The sequence below is a fragment of the Homo sapiens genome, chromosome 3, assembly GCF_000001405.40.
Source record: "Homo sapiens chromosome 3, GRCh38.p14 Primary Assembly".
Lineage (NCBI taxonomy): Eukaryota > Metazoa > Chordata > Mammalia > Primates > Hominidae > Homo > Homo sapiens.
The window spans coordinates 127,488,574-127,508,132 of record NC_000003.12 but is presented as its reverse complement, the minus strand read 5'-3'; the positions used below and the strand labels follow the sequence as shown (position 1 = coordinate 127,508,132).

General features: G+C 43.6%; 1 long non-coding RNA gene across 1 annotated transcript in view, besides 1 other annotated feature; it reads left to right on the top strand.

Annotated features, from left to right (window-relative positions):
• Window positions 1-10,532, top strand: part of LINC01471 (long intergenic non-protein coding RNA 1471) — a 40,180-nt gene extending 29,648 nt beyond the window's left edge. The window contains exons 6-7 of the long non-coding RNA NR_125397.1: window positions 8,391-8,448; window positions 10,223-10,532. This is a non-coding gene — a long non-coding RNA (long intergenic non-protein coding RNA 1471). The remainder of the gene's footprint in view (window positions 1-8,390; window positions 8,449-10,222) is intronic.
• Window positions 13,964-14,649: an enhancer, noted in NCBI's record as "H3K27ac hESC enhancer chr3:127212327-127213012 (GRCh37/hg19 assembly coordinates)". NCBI's record gives its function as "activates a minimal SCP1, AML or CMV promoter by ChIP-STARR-seq in primed H9 embryonic stem cells {active_cell/tissue: H9 hESC(primed)}" and the evidence as "EXISTENCE:reporter gene assay evidence [ECO:0000049][PMID:30033119]".

Genomic DNA, 19,559 nt, shown 5'->3' with positions numbered 1-19,559 from the left:
AGTCTCTTGCTATTCCATATGAATTTTAGAATCAGGTTGTCCATTCCTACAAAAAAGTCAGCTGGTATTCTGATAGGAATTGCACTGACTCTGTACATCAGATTGGTGAGTAGTGCTATTTTAACAATGTTTAGTCTTTCAGTCCACAAACATGGGATTTTTCCCATTTATTTAGATCTTTAAAATTTCTTTGAGCAATATTTTACAGTTTTTAGAGTATAAGTTTTGCTCTTCTTTTGTTAAATTTATTCCTAAGCATTTTATTCTTTTTGAATTGTAAATGAAATTGTTTTCAATGTAAATGAAATTGTTTTCTTAATTTTATTTTGGATTGTTCATTGAAATTGTGTAAACATATAATTGATATCATGCAAAGGAAAAAATAAGAGAGGAAGGTAATCTTGATGACAGTGTTTGAGACCTGGTTTCAGCTAAAGTGTATATTATTCCTTGACCATTCAGTTATCACTACTACCACTATTGAAATTACTACTATTACTATTTTGATTTAGTCTTCTCTTACTTGCAATCAAATGTTTATTGATTTGTTACTTGTATATTTTGGTTCAGCAATTAAAATAAATGTACTATAGTAATAGAAGATGTTAATATTAGAGGTTAGAGGGCTCTGGGTGTAGGATATAAAGAACTCTTTGTACTATCTTTGCAACTCTTTTTAAAATTTAAAACTATTCTAAAATTAAAGGTTTATTTAAAAATACAATTGATTTTTTTTTTTTGACAGACCCTCACTCTGTCACCCAAGTTGGAGTGCAGTGGGGCAGTCTTGGCTTACTGCAACCTCTGCCTCTCGGGTTCAAGCAATTCTCCTGCTTCAGCCTCCCAAGTAGCTGGGACTGCAGGCCTGTGCCACCACACCTGGCTAATTTGTGTATTTTTAGTAGAGACTGGGTTTCACCATCTTGGCTAGGCAGGTCTTGAACTCCTGACCTCAAGTGATCTGCCTGTCTCCACCTCCCGAAGTGCTGGGATTACAGACGTAAGCCACTGCGCCCAGCAAAAATACAATTGATTTTTGTATATTAATTTTGTATTCTGCAACCTCGCTCAACTCATTTATTAGTTCTAATAGTTTTTTAATAGATTCCTTAGGATTTTCTATTTTCTTTTTTTTTTTTTTTTTGAGACAGCGTCTCACTCTGTCACCCAGGCTGGAGTGCAGTGGCACAATCTTGACTCACTGCAACCTCTACCTCCCAGGTTCAAGTGATTCTTGTGCCTCAGCCGCCCCAGTAGCTAGGAGTACAGGTGTGTGCCACAATGCTGGCTAATTTTGGTATTTTTAGTAAAGACACGGTTTTGTCATGTTGGCCACGATGGTCTCAAAATCCTGACCTCAAGTGATCTGCCTGCCTCGGCCTCCCAAAGTCCTGGGATTACAGGTGTGAGCCACCATGCCTGGGCCCTTAGGGTTTTCTATGTACAAGATCATGTCATCTTCAATAGATAGAGTTTTACTTCTTTCTTTGTGATCTGAATGCCTCCTGTTCTTTTTTCTTGCCTAATTACCCCAACCGGAACCTCCAGTACAATGTTGAATAGAAATGGTGAGAGCATACATCCTTGTTTTGTTTCTGGTCTTAGGAGGAAAGTATCCAGTTTTTTACCATTGAGTATAATTTTAGCTCATTTAGCTGTTATTCTATTGGTATGGTGATTTAATTGATTTTTAGTTGTTGAAACCAAGCTTGCATTCTTAGGATAAATCGAACTTGGTCATGGAGTTTGATTTGTTTTATATGTTATTAAATTTGATTTGCTAGTATTTTGTTGAGGATTTTTGCATAAGAGGTATTGGTCTGTAATTTTCATTTCTTGTGCTATCTTCACCTGGTTTGGATAGTAAGATAATATTGGCCTCATAAAATGAATTGGAAAGTATTTCCTCCTCTTTTACTATTTGGAAGAGTTTGTGAAGAATTTGTATTAATTCTTCTTTAAGTATTTGATAAAATTCAGTGATTAAGCCATTTGGACTTAAGCTTTTCTTTATGGGTAGTTTTTGATTACTAATTCGATCTCTTTACTTGTTAAAAGTCTATTCAGATTGTCTATTTACTTTTGAGTCAGTTCCTGTAGTTTTGTTTTTGTCCTTCTATGGAAGGACATTTCTTCTAATTTATTGAGTTTTTTGGATACAATTGTTCATAATATTTCCTTATAATCTTTTTATTTCTGTAAGGGTAGTAGTAATGTCTTCTCTTTAATTTCTGATTCTAGTAATTTGAGTCTTCTTTCTTTTCTTATTGAACAATCTAACTAAAGGTTTGTCAATTTTGTTGATCTTTACAACAAACTGGCCTTGAATTAACTGCTTTTCTTTATTGTTTTTCTATTCTTTGTTTCATTAATTTCTGCTCTAGCCTTTATTATTCCCCTTCTTTGATTGCTTTAGGTTTAGTTTGCTCTTCTTTCTCCAGTGTCTTAAGGTGGAAGATTAGGTTATTGATTTGAGATCATTCCTTCTTCTTAATATAGGCACTGCAGCTATAAATTTCTGTCTAAGCACTGCTTTAGCTTTATCCTATAAGTTTTGGTATGGTGTGTTTTCATTTTCATTCTTGTCAATGTATTTTTAAATTTGCCCTTTTATTTCTTTTTTGACCTATTGGTTATATAAGGGTGTGTTTAATTTCCACATATTTCTGAGTTTCCCCAAATTTTCCATTGTTGATGTCAAATTTTATCCCAATTGTGGTCAGAGAACATACTTTGTGCTAGTTCTATTCTTTTAAATTTGTTAAGGTTTGTTTTATGGCCTAATATACGGTCTATCCTGGGGAATGTTTCATGTGCTCCTGAGAAGAATGTATATTCTGTTGTTGTTGAGTGGAGTGTTCTATAGAGATGTCTGTTAGGTCTCATTGGTTTATAGTGCTGTTCAAGTCTAATATTTCATTATTAATCTTCTGTCTAGTCTTTCTATCCATTATTGAAAGTGAGGTTTTAAAGTCTTCAACTGTTATTGCTGAATTGTATATTTCTCCCTTAGTTTCTGTCAATTTCACTTCATGTATATTGATGCTCTGTTATAAAATGCATACGTGTTTATAATTGTTATATCTTCCTGATTGATTGACTCTTTTATCAGCATGAAATGTCTCTCTGTCTCTAGTAACAACTTTTTTCTTTTCTTTTTTTTTTTTTTTTTTTTGAGACAGAGTCTCGCTCTGTCGCCCAGGCTGGAGTGCAGTGACACCATGTCGGCTCACTGCAAGCTCCGCCTCCCGGGTTCACGCCATTCTCCTGCCTCCGTCTCCCCAGTAGCTGGGACTACAGGCGCCCGCCACCACGCCCGGGTATTTTTTTGTATTTTTAGTAGAGATGGGGTTTCACCGTGTTAGCCAGGATGGTCTCAATCTCCTGACCTCGTGATCCATCCACCTCGGCCTCCCAAAGTGCTGGGATTACAGGCTTGAGCCACTGCGCCCGGCCCTTTTTTTGTTTTAAACTCTATTTTGTCTGATATCAGTACAGCCGCTTCAGCTTTCTTGTACTGTTTGTATATTTCTTTTTCCATACTTTACTTTCAATGTTTTTGTATCTTTGAATCTAATCTGAATCTAATCTTGCCCTCTTATACACAACATATAGTTGTATCATGTTTTTTTAACCAAGTCCAACAATCTCTGCATTTTTTAATTCATTCACATTTAATGTTGCTATTGATATTGTTGGATTTACATCTGCCATTTTGCTTTATATTTCTATATGTCTCATGTCATTTTGTTTCTCTATTACTTCTTTCTTGCTTTTTTACACTAAGTGAATATTTTCTAGTTAGGATTTTAGTTTCTTTAGTGTATTTTCTAATTTATTTTTATGAGTTTTTTTATTGATTGCTTTTGGGTTCACTGTACATCTTATCAGATTCAGCTTTAGATTTATACTAACTTATGGTGATATGTAGAAGCCTTACTAGTATATAGCTCTATTCACTTTTCCCTTTTCTTGTGGTATTATTGTTATGCATGTTACATCTATCAATGTTATAAACTTAATGATAAATTGTTGATTATTACTTTACCATCTGTCATCACATCCTTAGTTCAATACAGCTCTGCTTCTACCCACCTCTTTCGTGTCATTATTGACAAATACATTACACATAATAATACATTTCTCTATGTCACAGGCCCAAAATTACATTATATACACATTATTTTATACAATTGCTTCTGGTTTTTTTTTTTTGAGTTAGGGTCTTGCTCTGTCACCCAGGCTGGAGTACAGTGGCATGATCATGGCTGACTGCAGCCTCAAACTCCTCGGCTCAAGTGATCCTCCTGCCTTAGCCTCTGAGTTGCTGAGGTTACGGGCATGAACTACAGCACCTGGCTACAATTCCTTCTTAAATCACTTATGAAAAGAAAGCAGAAAAAAATAGACTTATACTGATTTTTATAATTAAATAATTATCTTTTCTGGTGCTCCTTATTTTTATTTGTTTGTATTCATATTAACATCTGGAGTCACATGCTTTCAGTCTGAAGAGTTTCATTTAGTATTTCTTGGAAGATAGATCTGCTATCAATAAATTCTTTTATTTATTTTTTTTATCTGGGTCAATCTTTATTTCCCCTTTATTAAAAAAAATGTGGTTTGGGCTGGGCGTGGTTGCTCACCCCTGTAATCCCAGCCCTTTGGGAGGCTGAGGCAGGTGGATTGCTTGAGGCCAGGAGTTTGAGAGCAGCCTGGCCAACATGGCAAAACCCTGTCTGTACTAAAAATACAAAAATCAGCTGGGCACATTGGTGCACACCTATAATCTCAGCTACTTGGGAGAATGAGAACTGAAAATTTGTTGAACCCAGGAGGCAGAGGTTGCAGTGAGCTGAGATCATGCCACTCCACTCCAGCCTGAGTGACAGAGCCAGACTGTTTCAAAATATACATTTAGTTTTGTTGGATACAGAATTCTTGGTGGACAGCTTTTTTTGCCCTTGAGTACTTTGAATATGTTATTGTACTGCATCCTTGCCTCTATTGTCCTGCTGAGAAGTCAACTATTAATCTTACTGAGGTTTCTTTGTAAGTAATTTTTCTCTTGCTGGTTTCAATATTTTCTTATTGTCTTTGACTTTCTGCATTTTTTACTATGATGTATCTGTGAATCTCTTTGCATTTATCATACTTGTAATTCTTTGTGCTTTCTGGATGTATATTGCTTTTTAATAAATTTGGGAAGTTTTCTGCCATTATTTATTCAAATATTTTTTCTTCTCTCTTCTTTCTCTTGTCCTTCACTCCCATTATGTTTGTGACTTTGAGGGTCTGTTTATTTGTCTTCATTTTGTTCTCTGTTCTTTTATTTGCATAATTTCTATAGACCTATCTTCAAGTTTATTAATTCTTTCTTCTGATAGTTCTAATCTACTGTTGTGCCCCTATAGTGAGTTTTTAATTTCAGTTACTCTATTTTTCAACTCTAGACTTTTCTTGGGGTTCTTTTAAAATAACTTCAATCTCTTTATTGATAGAAGATGTTTGATGCAACACTGCCATTATATCTTGCTTTTGTTTTTAAAATCATCCTCTCTTTCAGCTCTGTGAGCATATTTATAATTTGTACTTTGAAGTCTTTTTCAGTTAAATCCAATATCTTGTGGCTCTTAGAGGCAGTTCATGTTGCCTGCTCCTTTTTTTTTTTTTTAAACCAGTGTATGGGTCATACTTCTTTACAAGCCTTTTGATATTTCACTAGAAACTGGACATTTTAGGTAATATATTTCATTATAATACATTGTAGAATACTGTAGATAATATATTGTAGAAACTCTGAGCACTGGTTTCCTCTCTTCCTCCATGGGGCTTATAGTTGTCATTATTTGCTTGTTTGTTTTTTAGCAACTGGTTGGAGGAAGGGAACTCCCATGGCTTGATTGCACTCATTTGGAGCTTAGCCTCAGCAACAGGTAGCTGGGGACAGGACAACAAACACTGAAGTGCTCTTTCTTCTGGGAAGAAGGACTTCCAACTGTATGCTGGGGTGATACCTTGTCTTCTTGGTTGCAGCTATCTGGATTGGATTCTCTGCCTCACGGGGCTGGGATGGAGGGAGTCATGAAATACCACAGACTCTAAACTTTCTTACCCAAATTCTATGGGTTTTTCTTAAATAGATGTTTCTTAATTTTCTTTTTGTCCTTTGGACCATTTCCAGAGGCCTTAATTAAGAGGGGCTGGCAGAGCTCCTCATGTCATCATGCTGGAAGTTGATCTCCTACAGCATACATTCTTGAGTAATCAAAGTTTACTTGGCACATCACCAATTTCCTCGACAATGCAAGAACTTAGAGCATTTCAACTCATTTAGCTTCTTCCTGACTTGTTTGGTGTTTTTTGTAGGTTTTAATTCTTTACCTATTAAAACTCTCGCAAAGACATTATTATTACATTATACAGTTAATATTCATTTAGCTTTATATATGTATTTGCTATTTTAATATTTTTTCTGCATTTCTGTTTATCCATCTGAAATATACTCTATGTCTGAACACTATCATTTTTATTTTAGCTTGGGTGTATTTTTTATTATTTCTTTCCATTTTTGTTTGGCTGAAAATATTTTTATCTCACCTTCATTCTTGAATGATTTTTCTCTGAAGGTAGACTTCTAGGTAGGTAGTTATTTTCTTTCAGTAGTTTGAAGACATCATTCTATTGTCTTCTGGTTTTTATATTCTCTACTGAAAAATCAGTTGTCAGTCTACTTGTTGCTCCTTTGAAGGTAAAACAAGTTGTTTCCTCTAGCTGCTTTGAAGATTTTCTCTAGTTTTTGTCTTCAGCAATTACTTTCATGTGCCCAAGTGTAGATTTATTCTGACCATTATGTTTGGGGTTTGTAGTGCTTCTTGAATATGTAAACAAATGGCTTCCATCACTTTTGGAATATTTATTTATTTATTTATTTTGTAGGGATGCGGTCTCACTAGGTTATATCTGGTCCCAAACTCCTGGCCTCAAGCAATTCTCTTCCCTTAACCTCCTAAAGTGTTGGGATTACAGGTGTGAGCTACTGTGCCTGGCCTGGAATATTTTCATCATTTATGTCTTCTGTTCTATTTTCTTTGTCCTTTTTTTCCTGGTGCTTCAAGCACACATATGTTAGATCTTCTCATTCTATTCTCTTTGTCTCTTATACTCTCTTCTGTTTTCCATTCTTTTGTCCTTCTCTGCTTTACTCTGGTGTTTCCCCCATCCTTCCAGTTTAGTAAATCTCTTCAGTTATGTCTATCCAGAGGTTCCCAGGCTTTCTTGGCTCATAATATTCTTAATATCTCATTCCTCTTCCCTCCCCCACCATGGTGCTCCTAGGTAAAAAGGAATACCTAATAGTTTTCTTAAGTAGCTAGATCCTAACAGTATAAGTATTTGTGTCATAACAGAGTAGCCACCTTTTTGGCATTGCACAGCTTCTCAAATTATGGAATCATTGAATATTGCTACCCTCATTTCTTGCTTTACATTGATTTTCATGCAATAATCTCTTTGTATTACAGCGATCTCTGAAAACTTGGCTTTGCAAATATATGATGTTATCAGAAGGAAGGTAGCCATCTAATGTTGAAACTATGAACTACTTTGAGCTAATAGTTTGTGTTGTGTCCAACAGATAGCAATATGTTTCCTTTCAATATATAAACTATTTTGCAGCACTCCTGTGATGCACAGGAGCACCTGGGGCACCTTGGCACATGGTTTGAGAACAGCAGGTCTACTCTTTTGTTAAACATACCCATTAAGTACTGAGTTTCAATTATTGTTTGCATTTTAGTTCTAAAATGTCTATATTACTCTTTTTTCAAATCTTCTCTATCTTATTTAGAGATTGTTTTCAGTTTCCTGCCAAAATTCTCAATGTTTTCTTGAGCATAATAACCATAGTTACTTTAAAGTCTATAAGTGGTCACCCCGATATCTGTGTATCTGCAGATCTGTTTCTATTGGCAGTTGTTTCTGTTGTCATTATCCTGTCTTTTTATGTGCCTGATTGTGATGATAAGGATGATGGTGATATTGATGATGATGGCAGAGATGATGATGTCGATGACATCCTGGACATTGCATTTGAAAAACTATGTGTAGAACAGTTTGAGGCCTAGATGACATTGTCTTCTCCTAGAGAAGATTGACACTGGATCTTGACCGGTGCTTTGTGTCACTAGTAATTTTACTCCACTCTCAGAGACTGGTATGCCTCAGAGCTGTGCTTCAGTCTCTGAGAGCTGCTCCAATTTTGGTTCACATTTATTGTGAGATGCTTTCCTCAGGATCCCCACCCTAGGCTTCAGGAACAGGGATGTTTTCTAAGTCTCCCTGACATTATTGTATTCTGGATCCCATGAAGCTGTCAAAATTCTTCTCAGTCTGTCTTTCAGACACTTCTGATGAAACTGAAAATGCCACCAGGGAGAAGCAGCTGAAGTGAGTATCTTTTTTTCCTTTTATTTTTTTTCTGCAACCTAACCTGGTGGTTCTTCACTATCTCATTAGCTCTCTTATGCTCTTAAAGAAGATTTTAACAGAAACCTGTTGTTCAGTTTTTCTGTCCTTAACAGAGGAGTTAGCTCATCTTGCCTACTACCATCAGAAGCAAAAGTTTGGGATGATGTCATTTCAACCTGCAGAAATGTATTCATTCCGTGGTTGTGGGGGGACAGGGTAAACCAAACTGTGCTTTTATTTAGGATTATACATTACTTTAGAAATAAGTTCTTTTATTCAGAAAGGGATGATCCTAGGTAATCCTGAATGGGAGGATCTTGCAGTGAAGGGCTGGGGTGAGAAAGGGGGGCAGTAAATATCTTTTAATATTAGGATATCTTTTTATATTAGGAGGATTTTTTTTTGTTTCACCCCAGCAATGTGAGAGATAGAATGGATGCCCTAAAGAAGAGGATGCAGCAGAAATTAGGAAGAGATAAAGAAGAGCAACATTCCTTAAGAAATGCCCTATGGTTGGGAATGGCCATTTCATGTTAGAAACAAAGGTGATAATATTCAATTCTGGGCAGTCTTCTGCTTAGTGCGATAACTACCTTTTTTCTGAGATAGAGTTTTGCTCTTGTTGCCCAGGCTGGAGTGCAATGGCGCAATCTCGGCTTACTGCAACCTTTGCCTCCCAGGTTCAAGTGATTCTCCTGCCTCAGCCTCCTGAGTAGCTGGGATTACAGGCATGTGCCAACACACCTGGCTAATTTTGTGTTTTTAGTAGAGATGGGGTTTCTCCGTGTTGGTCAGGCTGGTCTCAAACTCCCGATCTCAGGTGATCCACTTGCCTTGGCCTCCCAAACTGCTGGGATTGCAGGCATGAGCCACTGCGCCTGGCCTCCCTTTTTTAACTCACCCTCCAAAACCTTTAGTAAAATCTATTTTACCCAATGCCTTTGTTTTTGTGGTGTCTTGGGGGAGAAAGGTAGGTTCTCCCATGTGGTAAGAAGGAGCAGGGATTGGACAGAAGCACATGGCCTGAGGTAATGGACAAGATACTGGATGGGAGAACACCAGGAGAATGCCAATACCTTCCCTGCTTGTCCCTGGGGTTTAGGGCATCTACTGGACTCCCCAGTCATATAAGTTTCAAACAGTTCTAAAGCTGTAGCCACACTCCCAGAGGTTCCCAGATTTAATTGGTCTTAGAGAAGACACACCCCTGGGTTTTTTTTTTTTTTATAAAAGCTCCTCAGGGGGTTTTAACATGTACCTGGGATTGAGACTCACTGTCCTAGATGTACCCTCTCCATCAGATGTGGAGGGCCTCTTCTTTCTCAGCCCCACAGGGCACTTGAGCACATTCAGATCTATTTGTGAGATGTGATGAAACACCAAATTATTACTGTCAGTGGCTCAGGCACAATATCTTAATGAAAAAAGTTGATTGATGAGGACAAGAGGCAAAGACAGAAGTCATAAGTGAATTTTTGAGTTTGTCTTCCTCGTTTCTGAATAGTTCAGAGCTGGGTTTTGCACTGTGTGCAGCCTGAACCTTCCAAAGCTGGCCTCAGCAATGTCTCCCTTCCTGCATGCTCCTCTGCAATGTGACCCTGACACTCCTCCATCAAGAGGTGGGGCCCAACTTCCCTCTTCTTGAAGCTAGGTTCATCTGTGACTTCTTCAACCCATAAACTTTGGCAAAAGTGATATGCTGTGACTTCTGGGGTTTGGTTGTGAGTGACCAGGCAGCTGCTGCCTTGTTCAGATAACACTTGTGCTGAGGTCGCTGAGCCACTGTGGAAGACATCCAAGCTCCATAAAGACAGGTCAAGTGCACATGCTCCAGTCAACAGCCCAGCTGAGCCCTCAGCATACAGCCAACACCAACTGCAAGCTGAGGGTGAAACAACTTGGATGTCCATTTGGATGTCAAGCTGGACTTCAGATGCCTGTGGTTGCAGCTCTGTCTGCAACTACATGGAAGACGCCATGTGAACCACCTAGTAGAGCCCTTCCTAGAATTGTTGGCCCTCAGACTCTACATGCATATCAAAATGAATGTTGTTTGAAGCCATAAGTTTTGTTGTGATTTGTTACGCAGCAACAGTAACTGCAACATCACAGGATCCTTGGGGTGTCATTTTCTGGCCAGAAACCTCTGTGGCTGGTGGTGCCTTTGCCCAAGTTTTGCTCAGGCTCACTGGGCTCATTCTGCCCACTCAGCCTGATAGGCTGTACTTGGCTTGTGCTACCAGCCTGGATCCCATGCCTGCCAAAGGTGAGCCAGGCATGGAGTGGTGAGGGATGTGTGAGCGAGCAAGCATGGGGCCCGGCCACTGTGCACAGCCAGGCATGCTGGCTGTGGTGGGGCGGGCAGCTCCAGATGCTGGTACAGGTACTGCTTGCCTGTGAGGCTGCAGCTGGACCAGGCTTCTGGTCCATAGAAAAGAAGCTTCTATGGCTGGCATCAGGGAAGGCAGTGGTGCCTGAAAGCTTGGAGATACCAGGAAACACAGAGCCCCAAAGAGGGTGTCATAGCCCTGGCTTGGGGAGCTCCTAGGTCTGGGGTCCCCAAAGGGCTACAGCTCTTTTTGCCTTCTCTCTTTTCTCCTTCTCATTGCCTGAAACCTGGTGAGCAATGGGCATATTTCAGCCCTGTTTGTATTACAGTTCTTTCTGCCCCACCATTTGGTGGGTCCCAAGTCCTTGTCCTGCATCCAGGAACAATGAGGTACTCAGACAAGTGGAGGGTGAGCATGGTGAAGAGGAGCTTTATTGAGTGGCAGAACAGCTCAGAGGAGACCAGCAGTTGGTAGATGCTCTTTGCAGGCAGGTTGTCCTGTCATCTACCCAAGTCTGGCTGAGTCCAGGGTTTTTACGGACTTTAGAGGGGAGGAAGTGCATGCTGACTGGTCCGTGGGCAGCCATGGTCGGTGGGGGCGGGGGGGCAGAGAAAACACTGTAAGTTCTCACCTTGGTCCACGGAGCTGACAGCCTGGCCCCACACTTCAGGCAGTCCCTGACTTGAAGGTGGGGCTTCACTGGGAACCAGTCCCTTTCTGCTCAGGAGCCTATCTGCCTCCTGCCACCATTAACCTGCCATCCACAGTGCCCATGATGCCCAGGCTGTTTGTGCTGAGGGGTGACTGCAGGCCTGTGCTGAGCCACCCTTAGCCCTGCCTCAGCCTCCCTGCCATGCTTATCAGTGCCCAAAGTCTGAAGGTGGCCGAGGTGGGAGGGGGCTGGTGTGTCAGCACTGTCTTGAGTATATGCACACCTGGCTAGGTCATGACAGTGCTGGGGTCAGCCACAACTTTGCTTTGAAATTGGAGTGGGTGCCAGGAGAGGCAGAGGCCAAGCAGCAGGAACGGGTACTTTTGAAGCTGCAGGGGAAGGGAGACTACTTTCTGGGATCCCAAGAGTGCAGAGATGCCTAGGTCCACAGCTGTGCCTGGATGGCTGCAGCTGCACCCAGGAGGGTGGGGCTCCTGCCTCTCCAACTTGGAAGCAGGCAGGGCTTCCATCTGTTCCTGGCTCCTGCTGACTCCATGGAGCATGCAGTCCAGTCACACCTTCTCCACTGCAGCTGGCATCATGGCAGCAGGTGTCCCAGATGGGCTGCCACCATCACCAGTAACACACTGTAAATTGTTATTCTATTCCATAAATATTACTGGGTGGCTCTTGTATTCCAAGATTTGTGTTGGGTGCTGTGGACACTCAATGAAAAGACTTGGCCCCTGCCTTCAAGTTGCTTATAGTCTAGGTGGGGAGATAGGCATAGAGGAGGATGATGCACTGTCTTAAGTGCTGTTTTTGTGGTAGACATTGTTACTTGTCCCCAGTATCTGTTCTCACATTCCTGCTTAATAACAGAAATCCTGAGAGTTGACTGGGCACAGGTCTCTCAGAATAAAAAGATGTTTCCTGGCTTCCTTTGCAGTTAAGTGTGGCCATACAAGCAGGTTCTGATCAATGAGATGGATGCTGATGTGGTGTGTGCAGCTGCTGGGAAGTGCTCTCAAAGGAGAAAGATGTGCTCTTCCTTCTCTTTCTTCCTTCCAGGTGGCCAGAATGTGAGTGAAGCTTGCACCATGAGGTGAATGCAACATCCAAAGAATACAATATTAGAGAGAAAGAGGCTGGGTCCTTGATATTGTTTGGATGTGTGTCCCCTCCAAATCTCATGTTGAAATGTGATTCTCAATGTTGGAAGTGGGGCCTGTTGGGAGGTCTTGGATCATGGGGGCAGATCTCTCATGAATGGCTTAGCACCATCTCTTTGGTGATAAGTGTGTTCTCACTCTATTAGTTCACATGAGAGCTGATTGTTTAAAAGAACCTGGCATCTCTCTTGCTCCTTCTCTTACTGTGTGACACACCTGTTTCCCCTTCACCTCTGCCATGATTATAAGCTTCCTGAGGCCTTATCAGAAGCCAAGCAGATGCTGGTGCCAGGCTTTTACAGCCTGTAGAATTGTGAGCCAAATAAATCTATTTTCTTTATACATTACCCAGTCTCAGATATTTCTTTATAGCAACTCAAAACAGACTAACACAGAAAATTGGTACCAAGGAGTGAAGCATTGGTATAAAAATACTTGAAAATGTGGAAGCAGCTTTGGAACCGGCAGACGTTGGAAGAGTTTGGAGGGCTCAGATGAAAACAGGAAGTTGAAACATTGGAATTTCTTAGGGACTGGTTAAATAGCTGTGACCAAAATGCTGATAGAAATATGAACAGTGAAGACCAGGCTGACGAGGTCTCAGACGGAAATGAGAAAGTTATTGGGAACTGGAGCAAAGGTCACTCTTGTTACTCCCTAGCGAAGAACTTGGCTGCATTGTGTCCATGTCCTAGGGGTTTGTGGAAGGTTGAACTTAAGAGTGATGACCTAGGGTATCTGGCAGAATAAATTTCTAAACATCAAGGCATTCAAGATGTGGTGTGGCTACTTCTAACTATATGATCAGATGTGGGAGCAAAGGAATGACTCAAGATAGGAACTTACCATTACAGGGGAAGCAAAGTATAAAAAATTGAAAGATTTGTAGCCTGGCCGTATAGTAGAGAAGGAAAGCACATTTTTAAGGAGAGGAATTGAAGTGGGCTGAAGAGCAACCACTTGCTAGAGAGATTTGCATGACTAAAAGGGAGCCAAGTGCTAATATTCAAGACAATGGGAAAAAGGCCTTTAAGGCATTTTGGAGATTTTTGAGGCAGCCTCGCCCATTACAGGCCCAGAGGCCTAGGAGGAAAGAGTAGTTTCAAGTGCCAGACCCAGGGCCCTACTGCTTCACACAGGCTGGGTTCACTGCACCCCATATCCTAGCTGCTGCAGCTCGAGTCATGGTTCAAAGGGCTCCAAGTACAGCTTGGGCCACTGCTTCAGAGGGTGCAAGCCATAGCCTTGGTGACTTCCACATGGTGTGTTAAGTCTGCAGGCTTTCAGAATGCAACAGTGAAGAAGGCTTGGCAGCTTCCACCTAGATTTCAGAGGATGTATCAGAAAGCCTGGGTGCCCAAACAGAAGCCTACTGCAGGGAGCCCCTGTATGGGAGTGCCCCTATATGGGAGCCCCTGCAGAGAGCCCCTACATGGCAAGTACCAAGGGGGTAATGTGGGGTTGGAGCCCCTGCGCAGAGTCCCCACTGGGGACTATCTAGTGGAGCTGTGGGAAGGAGGCTACCACCCTCCAGACCTGAAAATGCTAGAACCACTGGCAGCTTGCACCCTGAGCATGGAAAAGCCACAGATACTCAACTCCAACTCAAGAGAGAAGCCATGGGAGCTGTATTGTACAAAGCCACAGGGATGGAGCAGTCCAAGGCCTTGAGAGCCTATCCCTTGCACCACTGTGCCCAGGATGCAGGATATGGAGTCAGGATTATTTTGGAGCTTTAAGGTTGAATGTCTCCTTTTCTGGGTTTCAGGTTTGCATGGGACCTGTTGCTGCTTTCTTTTGGCTGATTTCTCCCTTTTGGAATGGAAATATTTACCCAATGCCTGTACCACCATTGTATCTTGGAAGTAAATAACTTGGTTTTGATTTTATAGGTTCATAGGTATAAGGAACTTGCCTTGAATCTCAAATGAGACTATGGACTTTTGAGTTGATGCTGGAATGAGTTAAGACTTTTGGGAATTATTGAGAATGGATGATTGTATTTTGCAGTGTGAGAAGGACTTGAGATTTGGGGGGGCCACAGCCAAAATAATATGGTTTGGATGTGTGTCCCTCCAAATCTCATGTTGAAATATGATCCTTAATGTTGGAGGTGGGGCTTAGAGAGAGGTGTTGGGTAATGGGGGCGGATCCCCCATGAATGGCTTAGTGCCATCTCCTTGGTGGTGAGTTCTCACTCTGCTAGTTCATGTGAGAGCTGGTTGTTTAAAAGATCTTGGCATCTCTTTTGTTCCCTCTCTTGCCATGTGACAACACTGCTCCATGTCACCTCTGCCAGGATTCTAAGTTCCCTGAGGCCTTACCAGAAACTGAGCAGATGCTGGTGCCATGCTTGTATAGCCTGCAGAACTGTGAGCCAAATAAACCTCTTTTCTTTATAAATTACCCAATCTCAGGCATTCCTTTGTAGCAATGCAAAATGGACTAACACAGTTCTGATGTCATACCAGCCTGGGACCATCTACTCAGAGAAGAATTAATTCCATCTTGTTCAAGCCATGTAATTTGGGGTTTCAATTTATCTACAATCAAACCCCAATAATACTAGCTCTTTTTGTGTTTGCCTCTCCTGAACACCAGCTTCAGTGCCTCCTCATGCAGGTTCTACTGTCTCCCATTGTTCCTGACTCCCACTATTAAAGATGGTTGAATGGCTCCCCCAGCTACAGTGCAAAAACCCTTGGAAGGACTCTGATTGGTCCAACATGGGTCAGTTGGCCATAGGTCAATCAACTGTGGCCAGGGAGGCAGGCCAAGAAGCACAGAAGGAAAAGTTGGGGCCACCCAGGTAGCGTGGGCCACTCCCAGGGCAGTTCCACCACAAGGTTGCTGCATGGGCTAGGTCCCCTGCCCACTCCCCTGTGGCAGCAAGTGATGCTCAGCTAGTCATGTGTCTCTGTGGGCCAGATCTCTGAGGGGACATGAAGGCTACATGCCAGTTTGTGCCCTGGAACCAGTCTTCAGCCCCTTCCACTGCTGGAAGCTTCCAGCCTGCAAGGCAGAGCAGAACAGTGAACAGTATGGATTCCAGATCAACTCTCAGCGTTCTCACATTTCTGCTGTGTAAACTGAGCAGGTCATTTCACCTCTCAGATCCTTGGCTTCCTCTTCTGTGAAGTGGGGATTGTAACAGGTCCCACCTCTCAGGTTCCTGTGGGGATGAGATTCGCCGAGCATCACAGCACAGAGTGCTCTGTCTGGCCCTTGGAGGCTGCCTAGTAAATGTTGGCTCCCCTGTTTGACCAGGCTCAGAGGGGAAGTGACAGGCCCAGGTCCCACTGGGGTCTGTGTGCACGGACTCCTCTCCCTTCTAGAACTCAGTCTCCTTGCAGCTCACAGCGCTCTCAAGTCTTCACCCTTTTCATTCAGCAGGGAAGTGGGATCCCCTCACTAGTTGGGGCCTAGGACCACCCACCCAGACCCAACTATCCCTAATGCTCTGATAAGCCCAGTTCCTTCCCTCCCACCCTTGCCCGGAGTCAGTGCTGCGTTTTGCTTTTGCATTTTTTATTGTGGTAAAAAAATACATAACATAAAATTGGCGTTCTTAACCAGTTTTACATGTACAGTTCAGTAGCATTAAGTATATTCCCATTGTTGTACTACCATCACCACCATCCATCCACAGAACTTTTTTTCTTTGAGACAGAGTCTTGTTCTGTCACGCAGGCTGGAGTGCAGTGGCGCAATCTTGGCTCACTGCAACCTCTGCCTCTTGGGTTCAAGCAATTCTCCTGCCTCAGCCTTCCAAGTAGCTAGGATTACAGGCACCTGCCACCACGCCTGGCTAATTTTTTGTATTTTTAGTAGAGATGGGTTTTTGCCAAGTTGGCCAGACTGGTCTCGAACTCCTGACCAAAAAGTGATCCACCCGCCTCAGCCTCCCAAAGTGTTGGGATTACAGGTCTGAGCCACTGCACTCAGCCAGAATTCTTTCATCTTCCCAAACTGAACCTCTGTCCCCATCAAACACTAACTCCCCATACCCCACCCCCAGCCCCTGGCGACTCCCATTCTACTCTGTCTCTAGGATTGTGACTGCTCTAGGGACCTCATGTGCTGGAAGGACAGTATGTGTCCTTCTGTGACTGGCTAGTTTCATCTAGACTAGTGTCTGTGGTATTCATCCATGTTGCAGCATAGGTCAAAATTTCCTTCCTTATTAAGGCTGAATCATATTCTACTGTATATATGTGTGTGTAGACACACACACACGCACACACACACAGGCTCATCACATTTTGTTTATCCATGTATCTGTCAGTGGACATCAGAGTTGTTTTAGTTTTACGATTAAATTTTTTCTTTTTCTTTTTAGAGACAGGGTGTTGCTCTGTTGCCCAGGCTGGAGTGCAATGGTGCAATCCTAGCTCACTGTAGCCTTGACCTCCTGGGCTCAAGCCATCATCCTGCCTCAGCCTCCTGAGTAGCTGGGACCACAGGTGTGTGCCACTGCACCAGCTAAGTTTTTAAAGCGTGGTTTTAATGCCCTTTTGCTGAGTAGGCCTAGGAGGGGCCCTGGGGAGGGGCTGAGGCTCCCTTGAGGATCCCCTCTGATTTGCTTAAATGCCTTCTAACCAAACACCCCAGCAGGCATAGACTCTCAGTTAAGGAGGTTTTAGGGCTGGCTGTCAGGAGCTGGATGGGCTGGGGAAAGATGGGGGCCCATGAGAGGAAGGCAAGGGGGGGTGGGCATGGTGGGGGTAGGGGCTAGAATTCCAAAGCTGCAGGAGATGAGGCATCCAGGCTCAGGGGTGTGTCCTCCCACGGGGCAGGTGCCTTCGGGCTGGCTTTCCAGCTCCACAGGGGAGGGACATTCACAGGTCCTGGAGAGGGGTGGGAGGAACCCCAGCTTCTCATCCCAGTTTTGTTCTGGCTGGGAAACCTCCGACCTCTTCCAGAAGAATCTGACCCTGCCTTCTGCCCCCCTGAGCAGTGCTCTGAAACTCAAATATGGCCCTGTTGCTCCTTCCACGAGCTAGGGCCAGGGCTACAGAGAAGCAGAGGAGGCAGTGGTCCCAGTTGTGAGCAGGCAGGCACTGTCCACCATGCAGGAAGCGCAGTGTGCGGATGTCAGGTGTGGGTGGTGGAGGGAGATGGCCTGGGCTCCAGTCTTAACTCTGACTTACAGCTGTGGGATCACAGGCAAGTCATGTATTATCTCTGGGCCTTGGTTTCCCCATCTGTAAACTGGGGATACAAATAGCTGCTCTTTCTAGGTGGTGGTGTGAGGATGTCAGTCTGCTCAGGCTGCCATAGACTGGGTGGCTTCAACAACAGACACTTACTTTCTCATAGTTCTGGAGACTGGGAGTCCAAGACCATGGTGCTGGCAGGCGCAGGTTCTGCTGAGGGCTCTCTTCCTGGCTGCAGACAGCTGCCTTCTTGCTGTGTCTCCATGTGATCTCTTATCTGTGCATGTTTGGAGAGCAAGAGAGTGAGTTTTCTGGTGTTTCTTCTTCTAATTCTTTTTTGGTTTAGAGACAAGCTCTTGCTCTGTTGCCTAGGCTGGAGTGCAGTGGCACCATCATAGCTCACTGCAACCTTGAGCTCCTGGGCTCAAGGGATCCTCCCACCTCAGCTTCCTGAGTAGCTGGGACCACAGGTGCATACCACCATGGTGCCTCTTCTTATGAGAACAGGAATCTTATGGGATCAGGGGCCCACCCCATGCTCTCATTTCACCTTCATTACCTCCTGATAGGCCCAGTCTCCAAATGCAGTCACAGTGGAGGCAAGGGCTTCAACATATGACATCTGAAGGGGACACAGTTCAGTCCACAGCCGGGATGAATGTGGCTGTCCCTGTGGAGTTCAAAAACCCAGGGATTTTGCTATTCCAGTTGTCATCTCCTAATTCTTGCTCCTGCCGTTTCCTCTGTCCTCCGGAGCATACTTCCTCACCTACTCCAGGAAGCCCTCCCTACTAGACCGGGTGAGGTTCCTCCTGCCCTGGGCTTCCACTGGCCTGTGGGGCCTCTTGCTGCCCCTTTGTCTATGACAGCAACACTCTGTGACTGTGACTTTCAATAATGGGCTTATCTAATGTCCACTCACCAGTGTGTTCCTGTGGGATTGGGGATTCGTCATTTCCCTGTCTTCAGTGTGCAGCCCAGGCCCCAGGATGCCCCAGGGGCTCAGTTGTCAGCTAGGGGACTGGCGGCTGTAGGCCTCAGTTTCCCATACCCAGTCACTCTCTTGCACCATTCAGGTCTCAGCTCAAAGGCCACCATGTCCGAAAGGCCTTCCCTGACCACCCGGATGGGGCTCTCCTCCCTGTCACTCTGGAGCCCTTGCCCAGATTTATTTTTCACTTGGCACTTACCACGGCCTGAATCACCCTAGTTCTTTATTTGTGTCTACTTCTACTTACTTATCACCTGGAGTGTAAGCCCTCTGAGGACAGGGACCTTGTCTGATATCTCTGGCACAGTGCATGTGACACATAATTGCTGACAACAGCAGAGCGGGCAGTTGAGGACTCTTGAGGCCAGAGCAGGGAGGCAGCATGCCTTGGGTCTCCTGCACAATTGCCTTGCTTGCAACACCCCCGTGCCCTCACTTGAGCAGGTGAACAGCATTTGCCAAGCACTTTTCTTATCCCTAACCTCATTTGATTTCTTAAATACACCATTTCACAGACGGGAACACTGAGCCTCAGATGGCTGAAGCAGCCTGCCCAGGGCTTGGTGGCAAATCAAGGGCTGAGTCAGGCCTTGGGCAGGTCTGGCTGCTGCATTCCTTCCTTTTCCTCTGCCCCTTTCTCTTTTGAGGGTCATCCCCCACAGCACCCCATCACAGGGTCCTCAGAATGGTGTCTTTCCCATTTGGATCAGTTATTCATCTCCTCTCTGCCTGGGCTCTTGTTTTCCAGCTCTTGGGGGACTCACTTGTGCCCTGAGTGCCATGCCCTCT